The sequence below is a fragment of the Homo sapiens genome, chromosome X, assembly GCF_000001405.40.
Source record: "Homo sapiens chromosome X, GRCh38.p14 Primary Assembly".
NCBI classification, from domain to species: domain Eukaryota; kingdom Metazoa; phylum Chordata; class Mammalia; order Primates; family Hominidae; genus Homo; species Homo sapiens.
In genome coordinates this window covers 107,148,282-107,165,035 of record NC_000023.11, presented here as the reverse complement: position 1 = coordinate 107,165,035, position 16,754 = coordinate 107,148,282, and the positions used below count along the sequence as shown (strand labels likewise).

Sequence of the window (16,754 nt, the reverse complement as noted above, 5' to 3'; positions counted from 1 at the left end):
TCCGCCTCCCAGGTTCACGCCATTCTCCTGCCTCAGCCTCCTGAGTAGCTGGGACTGCAGGCACCCGCCACCACGCCCAGTTAATTTTTTTGTATTTTTAGTAGAGACGGGGTTTCACCGTGTTAGCCAGGCTGGTCTCGAACTCCTGACTTCGTGATCCTCCCGTCTGGGCCTCCCAAAGTGCTGGGATTACAGGCGTGAGCCACTGCGCCCAGCTAAAGGGGCTTTTAGGCTAAAGGGGCTTTTAAATTACAAATCAATTTCTTTAGTGGTTCTAGAACTATTCAGGTTATCTAGTTCATCTTTGATGAATGTATTGTTTTTAAAGAGTTGGCCCATTTTTTATATTGTTAAAAATAAAGTAGTTCATAGTATTCCATTATTGTCCTTTTAATGGCTGTAGGGATATTCCTGTTTCATTTCTGATGTTAGTGGTTTGTGTCTTTCTTTTATCAATTTTATCGATCGCTTCCCAAAGAGCCAGCTTTTGTTTAATTAATCATTTTCTATTCTTTTCATGTTTTCAATTTCACTTGATATCTACTCTATTATTTCCTTCCTTCTGATTGCACTGAGTTCATTTTGCTCTTTTTCTAGTTCGTTGAGGTATGAACTCAGACTATTGATTTGAGATTTTTCCTATTTTTTAACGTACACATTTAGTGCTATAAATACCCAACTCAACACTTCCTTAACTGTGACCTACATATTATGTTATATTGTGATTTCATTCAGCTCTATATACTTCTTAAATTTCCTTTGTGAATCCTTCTTTGACTAATTTATTATTTAGAAGTGTGTTGTTTAATTTCCAAGTGTTTGGAGATTTTCTTGTTGTTTTTTCTGTATTGATCGCTACTTTGATCCCATTGTGGTATTAGAATATGCTTTGTACGATTTTAGTTCTTTTAAATTTATTTAGGTTTGTTTTGTGGGTGAGGATACAGTCTGTCTTGATGAATGTTCCATGGACATTTGAAAATTGTGTTTTCTGCTGCAGGGTGGAATGTTCTATATATGTTAATTAAATTCTGTTGCTTCACTGTAATTTCAGATACTGTGTTATTGGAGTCTTTCTGTCTAGTAGTTCTTTCAGTTGTGGAGAGTGGCTTTTTGAAATCTCCGCCTTTAATTGTGGATTTCTCTATTTCTCCCTTTAGCTCTATCAGTTTTTATTTCATGTATTTTGAGGCTTTCTTGTTTGGTCACCTATACATTTAGGATTGCTAGCCTTCTGGATGCCTTGATTCCTTTATCACTCTGTAATGTCTCTCTTTGGTTCTAGTAATTTTCTTTGTTCTGTAGTCCACTTTATCTGATATTAATATAGCCATTTCTTTTTAAAAAAATGAACCTTGCATGGTACATTCTTTCCATTCTTTTACTTTCAAACTATGTATTAATATATCCTTGTATTTGAAGTGAATTTCTTATAGACGGTATATTGTTGGATCATTTTTTATTCACTCTTCCACTCTCTGTATTTTAATTGGTATGTTTAGCACATTTATATTTAAGGTAACTATTCACATGTTAGAGCTTAAATCTGCCATTTTATTTGTTTGTTGCCTCTGATTTTTGTTCTTCTCTTTCTTTTTTTTACCCTGCTGTCAGTTGTTTGAGTATTTTGGGGGGGTTTCATCTTGTTCTGTTTATAGTGTTTTTAAATACATTATTTTGTATAGTTTTATTACTGGTTGCTCTAGGTATTACAGATACATGCATTACTTACAACAGTGTAGTCATACCACTACAGTGTTTGGGTGAAGTGCAGAAACCTTAATTCCATTTAGTTCCTTTTACCCTTCTTAGCTTTTAAGTATGGTTGTCTCAGCCATTTCTTCTGTGTACATTGAATATCACATCACATGGGGTTATAATTTTTACTTCAGCCATCAAATGATCTGAGAAACGAGAAGTAGAATAGTATATTTACCTTGTCTATACCCATTTTGATATTCCTTACTTTATATCAGGGGTCCTCAACCCCTGGGCTGAAGACCAGTACTGCTCTGTAGCCTGTTAGGAACCGGACCACACAGCAAGAGGTGAGCAGCAGGTGAGCGTGCATTACTGCCTGAGCTCCGCCTCCTGTCAGATCAGACATTAGATTCTCATAGGAGCGTGAACCCTATAGTAAACTACACATGCAAGGGATCTAGGTTGTGCGCTCCTGATGAGAATCTAATGCCTGATGATCCTCCCCCAGGCCCCTCCCGCCATCTGTGGAAAAATTGTCTTCCACAAAACCAGTTCCTGGTGCCAAAAGGGTTGGGGATCGCTGCTTTATATGATGTTCCAAGTCTTCTGTTTTCATTTCCTTTCTGTTTAATCTTCAAGGGTAGGTTTACTAGCAACAAATTATCTTGAATTGACTTTGTGTGAGAATATCTTTATCTCCCCCTTCATTTCTGAAGGACATTTTCACCAGATACAGAAGTCATTGTTGACACTTTTTTTCATTCAGTGCTTGAAGCCTGCATGGTTTTAGACGAGAAATCTGGTGTCATCTAAACTGATACTCCCTTTTAAGTAATGCATTTTTTTCTTTCTGGTTGCTTTCAAGATTTTTTTTTCTTTGTCTTTAGTTTTCAGAAGTTTAATTATTTTGTGTCTTAGCGTGGATTTGAGTTATTCTCTTTGGGATTTGTCCAGCTTCTTGAATCTATGAGTTTATATCTTTTCACAAACTTTGAGAGTTTTCAATCTTTTTTTTTAAATACGTTTTTCAGTCCCATTCTCTCTTTCCTCTCTTTCTGGAGCTCTTATTATACAAATGTTACTGCTTTTATTATTGTCTTCCAAGTCCTTGAGACATTTTTCATTTGTTTCTGCGAAGTTTTTCTTTGTTTTCTGTAAATTATATTTGTCTGTCATCAAGTTTTCTTATTCTATCCTCTGTTGACTCCATTCTGTTATCAAATTCCTTAGGTGAGCTTGTTATTTCGGTTATTTTACATTTCAGTTCTATACGTTTCATTTGGTTGTTTTTCATACTTTCTATTTCTTTGCTGAGATTTTCTGTTTTTTTCATTTGTTTTAAGAAAATTTGAAATGGCTTGTTTGAGCCTTTTTTTGATGGTCGCTTTAAAATTATTTTCAGATAATTCCAACATCTGATACCTCTCAGTGTTGGCATCTGTTGCCTTTTCTCTTTCAAGTTGTGGGTTTTCTCGGTTTTGATATGATAGGTAATTTTTTTTTCATTTTTTTTAAATTTTTTTTATTATTATTACTATTATTATTATTATTTTTTTTAAATTATACTTTAAGTTTTAGGGTACATGTGCACATTGTGCAGGTTAGTTACATATGTATACGTGTGCCATGCTGGTGCGCTGCACCCACTAACTCATCATCTAGCATTAGGTATATCTCCCAATGCTATCCCTCCCCCCTCCCCACCACAGTCCCCAGAGTGTGATATTCCCCTTCCTGTGTCCATGTGATCTCATTGTTCAATTCCCACCTATGAGTGAGAATATGCGGTGTTTGGTTTTTTGTTCTTGCGATAGTTTACTGAGAATGATGGTTTCCAATTTCATCCATGTCCCTACAAAGGACATGAACTCATCATTTTTTATGGCTGCATAGTATTCCATGGTGTATATGTGCCACATTTTCTTGATCCAGTCTATCATTGTTGGACATTTGGGTTGGTTCCAAGTCTTTGCTATTGTGAATAATGCCGCAATAAACATACGTGTGCATGTGTCTTTATAGCAGCGTGATTTATAGTCATTTGGGTATATACCCAGTAATGGGATGGCTGGGTCAAATGGTATTTCTAGTTCTAGATCCCTGAGGAATCGCCACACTGACTTCCACAATGGTTGAACTAGTTTACAGTCCCACCAACAGTGTAAAAGTGTTCCTATTTCTCCACATCCTCTCCAGCACCTGTTGTTTCCTGACTTTTCAATGATTGCCATTCTAACTGGTGTGAGATGATATCTCATAGTGGTTTTGATTTGCATTTCTCTGATGGCCAGTGATGATGAGCATTTTTTCATGTGTCTGTTGGCTGCATAAATGTCTTCTTTTGAGAAGTGTCTGTTCATGTCCCTCGCCCACTTTTTGATGGGGTTGTTTGTTTTTTTCTTGTAAATTTGTTTGAGTTCATTGTAGATTCTGGATATTAGCCCTTTGTCAGATGAGTAGGTTGCGAAAATTTTCTCCCATGTTGTAGGTTGCCTGTTCACTCTGATGGTAGTTTCCCCCACTGTGCAGAAGCTCTTTAGTTTAATTAGATCCCATTTGTCAATTTTGGCTTTGGTTGCCATTGCTTTTGGTGTTTTGGACATGAAGTCCTTGCCCACGCCTATGTCCTGAATGGTAATGCCTAGGTTTCCTTCTAGGGTTTTTATGGTTTTAGGTCTAACGTTTAAATCTTTAATCCATCTTGAATTGATTTTTGTATAAGGTGTAAGGAAGGGATCCGGTTTCAGCTTTCTACATATGGCTAGCCAGTTTTCCCAGCACCATTTATTAAATAGGAAATCCTTTCCCCATTGCTTGTTTTTCTCAGATTTGTCAAAGATCAGGTAGTTGTAGGTATGCGGCGTTATTTCTGAGGGCTCTGTTCTGTTCCATTGATCTATATCTCTGTTTTGGTACCAGTACCATGCTGTTTTGGTTACTGTAGCCTTGTAGTATAGTTTGAAGTCAGGTAGTGTGATGCCTCCAGCTTTTTCTTTTGGCTTAGGATTGACTTGGTGATGCGGGCTCTTTTTTGGTTCCATATGAACTTTAAAGTCGTTTTTTCCAATTCTGTGAAGAAAGTCATTGGTAGCTTGATGGGGATGGCATTGAATCTGTAAATTACCTTGGGCAGTATGGCCATTTTCACGATATTGATTCTTCCTACCCATGAGCATGGAATGTTCTTCCATTTGTTTGTATCCTCTTTTATTTCCTTGAGCAGTGGTTTGTAGTTCTCCTTGAAGAGGTCCTTCACATCCCTTGTAAGTTGGATTCCTAGGTATTTTATTCTCTTTGAAGCAATTGTGAATGGGAGTTCACTCATGATTTGGCTCTCTGTTTGTCTGTTGTTGGTGTATAGGAATACTTGTGATTTTTGTACATTGATTTTGTATCCTGAGACTTTGCTGAAGTTGCTTATTAGCTTAAGGAGATTTTGGGCTGAGACAATGGGGTTTTCTAGATAAACAATCATGTCGTCTGCAAACAGGGACAATTTGACTTCCTCTTTTCCTAATTGAATACCCTTTATTTCCTTCTCCTGCCTGATTGCCCTGGCCAGAACTTCCAACACTATGTTGAATAGGAGCAGTGAGAGAGGGCATCCCTGTCTTGTGCCAGTTTTCAAAGGGAATGCTTCCAGTTTTTGCCCATTCAGTATGATATTGGCTGTGGGTTTGTCATAGATAGCTCTTATTATTTTGAAATACGTCCCATCAATACCTAATTTATTGAGAGTTTTTAGCATGAAGGGTTGTTGAATTTTGTCAAAGGCTTTTTCTGCATCTATTGAGATAATCATGTGATTTTTGTCTTTGGCTCTGTTTATATGCTGGATTACATTTATTGATTTGTGTATATTGAACCAGCCTTGCATCCCAGGGATGAAGCCCACTTGATCATGGTGGATAAGCTTTTTGATGTGCTGCTGGATTCGGTTTGCCAGTATTTTATTGAGGATTTTTGCATCAATGTTCATCAAGGATATTGGTCTAAAATTCTCTTTTTTGGTTGTGTCTCTGCCCGGCTTTGGTATCAGAATGATGCTGGCCTCATAAAATGAGTTAGGGAGGATTCCCTCTTTTTCTATTGATTGGAATAGTTTCAGAAGGAATGGTACCAGTTCCTCCTTGTACCTCTGGTAGAATTCGGCTGTGAATCCATCTGGTCCTGGACTCTTTTTGGTTGGTAAACTCTTGATTATTGCCACAATTTCAGCTCCTGTTATTGGTCTATTCAGAGATTCAACTTCTTCCTGGTTTAGTCTTGGGAGAGTGTATGTGTCGAGGAATGTATCCATTTCTTCTAGATTTTCTAGTTTATTTGCGTAGAGGTGTTTGTAGTATTCTCTGATGGTAGTTTGTATTTCTGTGGGATCGGTGGTGATATCCCCTTTATCATTTTTTATTGTGTATATTTGATTCTTCTCTCTTTTTTTCTTTATTAGTCTTGCTAGCGGTCTATCAATTTTGTTGATCCTTTCAAAAAACCAGCTCCTGGATTCACTGATTTTTTGAAGGGTTTTTTGTGTCTCTATTTCCTTCAGTTCTGCTCTGATTTTAGTTATTTCTTGCCTTCTGCTAGCTTTTGAATGTGTTTGCTCTTGCTTTTCTAGTTCTTTTAACTGTGATGTTAGGGTGTCAATTTTGGATCTTTCCTGCTTTCTCTTGTGGGCATTTAGTGCTATAAATTTCCCTCTACACACTGCTTTGAATGCGTCCCAGAGATTCTGGTATGTTGTGTCTTTGTTCTCGTTGGTTTCAAAGAACATCTTTATTTCTGCCTTCATTTCGTTATGTACCCAGTAGTCATTCAGGAGTAGGTTGTTCAGTTTCCATGTAGTTGAGTGGCTTTGAGTGAGATTCTTAATCCTGAGTTCTAGTTTGATTGCGCTGTGGTCTGAGAGATAGTTTGTTATAATTTCTGTTCTTTTACATTTGCTGAGGAGAGCTTTACTTCCAACTATGTGGTCAATTTTGGAATAGGTGTGGTGTGGTGCTGAAAAAAATGTATATTCTGTTGATTTGGGGTGGAGAGTTCTGTAGATGTCTATTAGGTCCACTTGGTGCAGAGCTGAGTTCAATTCCTGGGTATCCTTGTTGACTTTCTGTCTCGTTGATCTGTCTAATGTTGACAGTGGGGTGTTAAAGTCTCCCATTATTAATGTGTGGGAGTCTAGGTCTCTTTGTAGGTCACTCAGGACTTGCTTTATGAATCTGGGTGCTCCTGTATTGGCTGCATATATATTTAGGATAGTTAGCTCCTCTTGTTGAATTGATCCCTTTACCATTATGTAATGGCCTTCTTTGTCTCTTTTGATCTTTGTTGATTTAAAGTCTGTTTTATCAGAGACTAGGATTGCAACCCCTGCCTTTTTTTGTTTTCCATTTGCTTGGTAGATCTTCCTCCATCCTTTTATTTTGAGCCTATGTGTGTCTCTGCACATGAGATGGGTCTCCTGAATACAGCACACTGATGGGTCTTGACTCTTTATCCAATTTGCCAGTCTGTGTCTTTTAATTGGAGAATTTAGTCCATTTACATTTAAAGTTAGTGTTGTTATGTGTGAATTTGATCCTGTCATTATGATGTTAGCTGGTGATTTTGCTCGTTAGTTGATGCAGTTTCTTCCTAGTCTTGATGGTCTTTACATTTTGGCATGATTTTGCAGCGGCTGGTACCGGTTGTTCCTTTCCATGTTTAGCGCTTCCTTCAGGAGCTCTTTTAGGGCAGGCCTGGTGGTGACAAAATCTCTCAGCACTTGCTTGTCTGTAAAGTATTTTATTTCTCCTTCACTTATGAAGCTTAGTTTGGCTGGATATGAAATTCTGGGTTGAAAATTCTTTTCTTTAAGAATGTTGAATATTGGCCCCCACTCTCTTCTGGCTTGTAGGGTTTCTGCTGAGAGATCCGCTGTTAGTCTGATGGGCTTCCCTTTGAGGGTAACCTGACCTTTCTCTCTGGCTGCCCTTAACATTTTTTCCTTCATTTCAACTTTGGTGAATCTGACAATTATGTGTCTTGGAGTTGCTCTTCCCGAGGAGTATCTTTGTGGCGTTCTCTGTATTTCCTGAATCTGAACGTTGGCCTGCCTTGCTAGATTGGGGAAGTTCTCCTGGATAATATCCTGCAGAGTGTTTTCCAACTTGGTTGCATTCTCCCCATCACTTTCAGGTACACCAATCAGACGTAGATTTGGTCTTTTCACATCGTCCCACATTTCTTGGAGGCTTTGCTCATTTCTTTTTATTCTTTTTTCTCTAAACTTCCCTTCTCGCTTCATTTCATTCATTTCATCTTCCATTGCTGATACCCTTTCTTCCAGTTGATCGCATCGGCTCCTGAGGCTTCTGCATTCTTCACGTAGTTCTCGAGCCTTGGTTTTCAGCTCCATCAGCTCCTTTAAGCACTTCTCTGTATTGGTTATTCTAGTTATACATTCTTCTAAATTTTTTTCAAAGTTTTCAACTTCTTTGCCTTTGGTTTGAATGTCCTCCCGTAGCTCAGAGTAATTTGATCGTCTGAAGCCTTCCTCTCAGCTCGTCAAAATCATTCTCCATCCAGCTTTGTTCCGTTGCTGGTGAGGAACTGCGTTCCTTTGGAGGAGGAGAGGCGCTCTGCGTTTTAGAGTTTCCAGTTTTTCTGTTCTGTTTTTTCCCCATCTTTGTGGTTTTATCTACTTTTGGTCTTTGATGATGGTGATGTACAGATGGGTTTTTGGTGTGGATGTCCTTTCTGTTTGTTAGTTTTCCTTCTAACAGACAGGACCCTCAGCTGCAGGTCTGTTGGAATACCCTGCCGTGTGAGGTGTCAGTGTGCCCCTGCTGGGGGGTGCCTCCCAGTTAGGCTGCTCGGGGATCAGGGGTCAGGGACCCACTTGAGGAGGCAGTCTGCCTGTTCTCAGATCTCCAGCTGCGTGCTGGGAGAACCACTGCTCTCTTCAAAGCTGTCAGACAGGGACATTTAAGTCTGCAGAGGTTACTGCTGTCTTTTTGTTTGTCTGTGCCCTGCCCCCAGAGGTGGAGCCTACAGAGGCAGGCAGGCCTCCTTGAGCTGTGGTGGGCTCCACCCAGTTGGAGCTTCCCGGCTGCTTTGTTTACCTAATCAAGCCTGGGCAATGGCGGGCGCCCCTCCCCCAGCCTGGCTGCCGCCTTGCAGTTTGATCTCAGACTGCTGTGCTAGCAATCAGCGAGATGCCGTGGGCGTAGGACCCTCCGAGCCAGGTGTGGGATATAGTCTCGTCGTGCGCCGTTTTTTAAGCCGGTCTGAAAAGCGCAATATTCGGGTGGGAGTGACCCGATTTTCCAGGTGCGTCCGTCACCCCTTTCTTTGACTCGGAAAGGGAACTCCCTGACCCCTTGCGCTTCCCAGGTGAGGGAATGCCTCGCCCTGCTTTGGCTTGCGCACGGTGCGCGCACCCACTGGCCTGCGCCCACTGTCTGGCACTCCCTAGTGAGATGAACCCGGTACCTCAGATGGAAATGCAGAAATCACCCGTCTTCTGTGTCGCTCACGCTGGGAGCTGTAGACCGGAGCTGTTCCTATTTGGCCATCTTGGCTCCTCCCCTATGATAGGTAATTTTTAAAATTTTATCTTGGACATTTTGTCTATTATGTTAGGAAAGTCTAGGTCCTATTTTCATATTTTTTTTTCATCAAGCATCTCTTTTTTGACATGTAGTACAAGGGGTGGGTGTGTTTGTATGTTCAGCTTCCCACTGGACCTTACCCACACCACTCCAGCAAAAGTGGAGCACTTACCACGCTGCCTCAAGGCAGATGGGTGGTATGGAAACTGCTTCCCGCTTAGCCCCACTGACTCATCCCTCATGAAAGGTGAACATTGCATGCTACCACTTTATTGACAGTAAGTGGAGATGTAAGCTCAGCTCCCAGCTGGGCCCTGGAGCCCCCAGATCAGGGGGAAGTGGAGGACTGACTCACACTGCTTAGTTGCTGCACATGGAGGCAGAATTTCAGCTTCCTGTTGGCCCCACTGACACAAGGGGAGGGAAGAAGAAGCATAATGTCAACTACTTTGTTTCATATCACTTCATTCAGCCTCCTTGGTTGGTATGAAGGCTTAGCTCTCTACTGGGCCCAGCTGACACAGGCTCATGGGAGAAGCGGGACAAAGTACTGACTAGGCGCTCTTTGCCCTACCTCATTTAGTCTTGGCTTTGCCAGTGGATGTGGAGGTCAAGCTTCTCATTGAGCATTGCTGACCCCATGGATGGCAGGAAGTGGGATCCCTACAAGCCCTAACTTGAATCACCTTGTTCAGTTGTAATGATGCTGGGTGGGTATAGAGATTCAGCTCCCCACTGGGTCTCTCTGACACCAGAGGCAAGAGGTGAAGCCTAATGGTGACTAACCCTGCCTCATTCTGCCTCATTGAGCCCTGTTGCTACTGGGTAGGGATTTAGGTTCAACTTGTCATTGGATCCCACAGAAAGAACCCTGGTGGAGGAATTGGAATCGTGCCTGTGTCTTCCACTTAGGGAATTGATGATTACCTTCCCACTGAGCCGTGCTGACACTACCCCAGCAGAGGAATCACCATTGACTGGCTCTGCTGGCCAAAAGATCAGCTAGTTGCTGAGCCTTTTTTGATACCACTTGGCAGGGGAATCAGAGTTCTGCATGGTTCTACCCAGTGAGGAATGCCCACTCTCTTGTGGATACTACTCAAACAGGGAATGGGTCACTTTGACTAAGAGCTGGGGGAGAGAGAATCCTATCTCCTTAGCTATGCCTACCCAGAAAGGAGCTTCTCTCATGCTGAGCTGGGATGAGGGGAAGAGAAGGAGCAGATTATGGCACAGACTTTAGCTATTCTTGCTGTGATTTAGTAGGTTTCTTAATAAATCTTTATTTACTATATTCACCTAGGATAATTTCAAGTGACTTTGAGGGGTTGTTTTTTTTAATCATCTTTACCAGTTATGTTTGTTTTCTTGGGAAGCAGGTATGGGAAATTCCTTACATGCTGTTTTCTTCTCAGAGTCCTCCTGTGTTCGTTTTTAAAATCTGATCACACTTTTTAAAGTATGATTATTGGATCATCCTGCATCTTTTTATGTTTTAGTGTAGTAGCAACTCCTGTGATGACATATGGTCATCTGGAGGGTCTTATAAATGAGTGGAACCTTGAGCTGGAAGATCAAGAGAAGTACTTTCTTCTCCAGGCCACTCAGGTCAATGCTTGGGACCATACATTGATTGAGAATGGTGAGATGGTAAGAAAATATTTTCATTAATCTACCTACATTGTGCAAGTATTTGCAGATGAACACAAGAAAATAGACCTGTGTTTTGTGGTTTTCTTTGTTGTTGTTGTTTTGTTTATGTTTTTGTTTTTTGAGACAGGGTCTTGCTCTATCACCTAGGCTGGAGCACAGTGGTGCAATTACAGCTCACTGCAGCCTCGATCTCCCTGGCTCAAGCAATTCTCCCACCTCAGCCTCCTAAGTAGCTGGGACCACAGGGGCACACCAGCACCCCCAGCTAACTGTGTGTGTGTTTTTTCAGTAGGGATAGGGTCCCACTGCGTTGTCCAGTCTGGTCTCAAACTCCTAGGCTCAAGTGATCCTCCTGCCTCAGCCTCCCAAAGTGCTGGGATTATAGGCATGAGCCACCATACCCAGCCCTGTGGTTAATTTTCTATTCCAATATTGGTGAGCAGCTCAAAGTATATTCCTTAGGCAATAAGTACCCTGAATAAAAGGAAATCTTTCATATTTGAAGTGTATTTGAGAAAATTAATATTGCTCTAAAATTGTTATATAAATTCAAATACTTATATTGTTGTATTCATATTTCTCTTTATAGATTCGTATTTTACATGGAGAAGTGAACAAAGTGAAACTGGATCAGAAAAGGTAGAACCTTAGATTTCCTTGGTTGAAAGATTAAAGACCTATCTTTTTATTCAGTGTTTTTTTTTTCCTTCTGTAGTTTGTTAACTCTTTTCTTTTTGTCACTCCAAATTCCTTTCATCAGCCTTTTTATTAACTTATTTTATTCAGATTGGAACAAGAATTGGATTTTATCCTGTCACAGCAGCAGGAACTAGAATTTCTGTTGACTTATTTAGAGGAGTCTACGCGTGACCAGAGTGGACTTCATTATCTGCAGGATGCAGATGAGGAGCATGTGGAGATGTAAGTAACTGAAAAAAGATTGAAGAATGGGGCAGGACTTACGTATTCTGAGAGCATTCCAGGAACAGAGGGGAAAAGTCGAATTGGAAGGCAAGGAATACAAATCGGTAGAAAGGGACAAGCTTTTGTAGTTGACATTTATCAATTTGTTTGATTGTTTTCTGGTTATCTTTTCTGGATGCTTGTAAATGAGGAAATCATTCTGGCAATTTTGTTTTATAGCATTTTGTTTACTGTTATTACTGTCAACCTTATGCATGTTCACTGTAAAGTTTTTGTATTTGTCAAATTTGTTCTTAAATTAGAAGTACAAATTTTATGTGTATGGTGTCATGGTATTGTGGGATATTTATGGTCTCCTCTTTATGTTGATTCTGCTAAAACTAATAGTCATGCAATTGCTTTAGTGATAAATCATTTGCTATTTTAAAGGCAATTTGTTAATCTGGAGGCAAACTGTATAGCTTTCAAAAATGGAGTGATTTTGTCAATGTCTTAGGAGGGCTATATTTTATTTGTGAACTCTTCAGTCTTTACCTTCTGTCAATACAGTGCCAGTATTCCCAAAGTAACTTTATTTCTCTGGAACTGAGGTTTGGTAATTGGCCAATTTATTAAGTATTAGAATTTGTATGAATGAACAACATAATCTAGATTGAGACTAAATTGGACACATTTTATCAATGACTTATTATGAGTTAAGACTGGGCCTGTTTTTAACATGCTTGCAAGTTAACTTTTTTGTAGGCGCATTAAATGTGGTAAGTACAACTAATCTATACTAACCTAAATCAGTTTCTGCTTTTGTATTTCAACCTTTGTGAATTTTTCTTTTCTTTGTATTGCTTTCTATGCATTCTATCATTTTTTTGAAACATATAGAGTTACATTTTTGGCCATAAGATCCTAACTGTAGTTTGAAGAAATCTTCATGACATTAGTTCCTTTCCAGTTGCTCCTTTGTAGTCATATATATATATATATCTGAATATATATATATCTGAATATATATATATATATCTGAATATATATATATCTGAATATATATATATATCTGAATATATATATATATCTGAATATATATATATATATCTGAATATATATATATATATATATATATATCTGAATATATATATATATTCAAGATGAAGTCTTGCTCTGTCGCCCAGGCTGGAATGCAGTGGCACGATCTCGGCTCACTGCAACCTCTGCCTCCTGGGTTCAAGCGATTCTTCTGCCTCAGCGTCCTGAGTAGCTGGGATTACAGGCATGCGCCACCACACCCAGCTAATTTTTTGTATTTTTAGTAGGGACCGGGTTTCACCATGTTGGCCAGGCTGGTCTCGAACTCCTGACTTCATGATCCACTCCCCTCGGGCTCCCAAAGTGCTGGGATTACAGGCATGAGCCACCGCGCCCGGCCCAGATTTGTATTGTGATGAAATATTTACCAGAATCTTCAATAATGTAGGCAACCAATTCTATGGCATAAGTACTATGCCATAGAAAGGCAGTAGATAGTTGTTACCTACAAATCTAATTGACTCTTTCAATCTTTATACACATTAAGGTTGAAAAATCCTCTGGCCACTTTAATTCTCATAAACATATTTATTGACTGGGTCGTGTGTGTGTGTGTGTGTGTGTGTGTGTGTGGTTTGGGTGGAAATCTCGAGAATTTAGGCAACTAACTTGTGAACTTAGCAGGTTTGTCTATCTTTGATTATTGTGAAGCTCATTTCTCAAAACATCTTTTTTGCCTGATGAAGTATATTTATATGAGGTTTTATTTTGAAAATTTGTGTATTCAAGATCATTGAAGACATCTCAGCATCTATTGAATATTGCCAAACCCTAAATAACTTCTCTTTTGTATGTAAATGTGCTATAGGTGTATTTTGACACCTTAAAGGATTCCTTTGCTCTACAGATCCCCAGGGTATTCACCTAGAGGATAAATAGGTGAAGGTAAAAAGGCAAGGTAGATAAAAGTCTTCTCATTTGGAGTCTTTTTAGAACATGGTAATAATAACGTCACAAATGCTGCATCCATGAAAATATATCAGTAGTCATAACTGAGCTCCACTGAAAAGACAGGGGAATTAGGGCAAATCCAATTGGTAGTGTCATGTTTATATATCAATAACAATAGGTAGTGGAGAAAACACTTTTTGTTAATCCCTTTATTTTACTTGCCTTTTCAGTTACAGATTAGCAGAAAGTATAGATGCTCAGCTGAAACAAATGGCCCAAGATCTCAAGGACGTTGTTAATCACCTGAATACATTTGAAAGTTCTTCTGACACTACTGATCCGGTGTGTTTACTGCTTTGTGTACTTAGGCAACCAAGATTTAGTATGAAATTAGCATACAGCCAGGTATGGTGGCTCATGCCTATAACCCCAGCACTTCGGTAGGCCGAGGCAAGAGAACTGTTTTAGGCCAAGAGTTTGAGACCAGCCTGGGCAACATAGTGAGACCCTGTCTCTATCAAAAATGAAAAAATCTATCTGGGCATGGTGGTACATACCTATAGTCCTACCTACTCTGGAGGCTGAGGTGAGAGGATCACTTGAGCCCAGGAGTTGAAAGCTGCAGTGAGCTATGCTTGCACCACTGTGCTCTAGCCTGGGTGACAGAGTGAGATCCTGTCTCTAGAAAGAAATTAGCATTCTGTGGTTCTTTTAAGCTAGTCCCTTTTTTCCGTCTTCTATAGTGTTTCTTCCTGCCTCTAGAAATATGAAGCCCCTTGGGTGTGGTTAGTGGAGCAGGAAACATCTAGAGGCAGAAAAGGTTGTGAGTTTTTTGTGGTTATTCCCAGGAAGGTGAAAATATTACTCTTCCCTAAGTTGTCATGCTTTTCTCCCTTATTCTTCACATAACTAAGTATGTACCTGTATTTATTTTTCTGTTCACTTACTAGCCAGTTCATTCTTCTTTTTACATATTTGTTTACATACTTATATAAGTGTTAGTAGGTATGCTTGTGTCTGTTCAACACAACCAGGCAATCCTTAATTTATGGTTAGATTGTATTTTAAAATTTGTTAGGTTGACTATTTGAGACTTTACATTTTTCTATAGAAACTTGGTGAAATATGGTTATTAGGTTTACACCTGCCCCCACAGAATACTATTTAGCTCATAATAAATGTATTATATCAGTGGAATTACAGCTGAGGCTCCAATTAGAGTTAAGGTGCTGTGAATTAATTTGGCAGTAAGAAAGAATTGTTTTTTTTTTCTTTCTCTATACTCTGATTAAACAGCTTATTTCCTGTACCTTTCCCTGTTGTCTTAGCAGCTAAATGGAGTCCTCCTTTTCCCGCTCCCACTCTGTGGCAGTAGTAGTAAGAGGGATCTCCCATTGTGGGAGTTCCCATTGTGCTTTCTATCAGTTAATCATAATCAGGAGTGAGGCCAGGATCGGGTAGGTGAAGATGAATGACATATATGTAAGTGGTGATTATTCTTTAGTAAGCTCTTTGTTCAATTATATACAGACAGTTCTTTATCTACATACACATTACCATTTTTTAAATTATGAAGATACAGTGTGTTATAGCTGAGAAAGTATTAGAATTTTGTTTAAGTCATTTAATCTCTCTGGGTCTTGGCTCCTTCTTTTTGCAAAATGTCAAGGATAGACTAAATGATCTGTAGGTCCCTTCCCGCTATAAAAATTATGCCATTCTGTACTTTGGGTGAATCTAAAGTTGAACAAAGACAAATATAAATTAATCTGAAATTATTCATGCTACCATGTCCCTGTGTTCACACAAATGATCAAGAGTTTACAAAATACAGATTTTCTCTTAATGAAATATTAGATTACCATTGTAATTCCAAAATTCAAAATTGTTTTGTTGTAATAGAATTTTGGTGCATAGGTAAATATATGCAGATTTAGACATTCAGCAGAGTTGATTTCTAGTTTCTCTGTGTTGAATTAATATAAGTGGAGTGTTCTCAATCAAGTAACTAAAAGGAGACTATAATTCTGTCTTTGTCCATTTTCTCTACTTAGCCCTGGATTGTTTTATTTTATTTTAGTAGTGGGTAGTAAATGGTTTGAGTCTTTTTGTTTTCCTGGCAGGGGTGATTGGGATGTTTAAGATGAGTCAATTAAAGGGTAATTGCTGTTTGATTGCAGAATAAAAGAAGAAAGAGATCACTGACAGCTCTTTTTGCAGATAGCATAAATCCTTGGACAAGAAACGGGAAAAACATTTTCTGAACAATAATATTCCTGTAGATAATTTATTTTAACCGGATTAACAAAGCTTTATTACTCTGGGTCATATACTAGGGTAGAAAAATAGGAGCTATGTGTTCCAGTATTCACGGTGATGAGATTTATCTATTTTTATTCCCCCTTTTTTTGTGAGCGGCAATGGGAAAGACCACCTAATGTCTAAAAGTTTTATTAAGTAAGTTCATATTATGCACTGTGTTATTCAGTCACATTTTCTTACAAAATCCATAAGGAAAATTAAGTCATCTATATTAACAGTACCCTGATAATATACTGGTGTATTTCTTTCTAGTCTTTTTTGCTATGCTGCTAAAAATACTTCTTTTGTATTAAAGAGTACTGGAAACTATATAACTTTTTGTATTCTATCTTCACTTAATATTCTTTCATGGTCTTTCCCAAAAATTTTAACCATTCTTTGAAAACATGAGTTTTAATGGTACTATAATGTTTCATCAGGGTTGACTTTACCATGATCTATTTAATCATTTTTTGATTGGTAGAGATATTGTTTCCAATCTTTAGCCAATATAAAATAGTCCAGTAATCACCACTTATATTTAGATTTGATTATCTCCTCTGGATAACGGAAATAGAATATACTGACTGAGTCAAAAGGTATGAATATTTTAAA

The 16,754-nt window shown here is 38.9% G+C and overlaps 1 protein-coding gene across 3 annotated transcripts in view, besides 1 other annotated feature; it reads left to right on the top strand.

Annotated features, from left to right (window-relative positions):
* NUP62CL (nucleoporin 62 C-terminal like) overlaps positions 1-16,754 on the top strand; it is an 83,007-nt gene that overhangs the window by 41,398 nt on the left and 24,855 nt on the right. For 2 of the 3 annotated variants that reach the window (NM_001433614.1, NM_017681.3), the window contains 3 exons: positions 10,790-10,940; positions 11,533-11,582; positions 11,730-11,864. In NM_001433614.1, coding sequence (NP_001420543.1) covers positions 10,790-10,940; positions 11,533-11,582; positions 11,730-11,864 — 336 coding nt within the window. The remainder of the gene's footprint in view (positions 1-10,789; positions 10,941-11,532; positions 11,583-11,729; positions 11,865-16,754) is intronic. The other variant, NR_033676.2, reaches the window with a different exon arrangement.
* Positions 8,805-8,965: a silencer, noted in NCBI's record as "fragment chrX:106399301-106399461 (GRCh37/hg19 assembly coordinates)". NCBI's record gives its function as "represses an EF-1alpha promoter that drives an FKBP-Casp9 reporter gene in an ReSE screen in HepG2 liver carcinoma cells {active_cell/tissue: HepG2}" and the evidence as "EXISTENCE:reporter gene assay evidence [ECO:0000049][PMID:32094911]".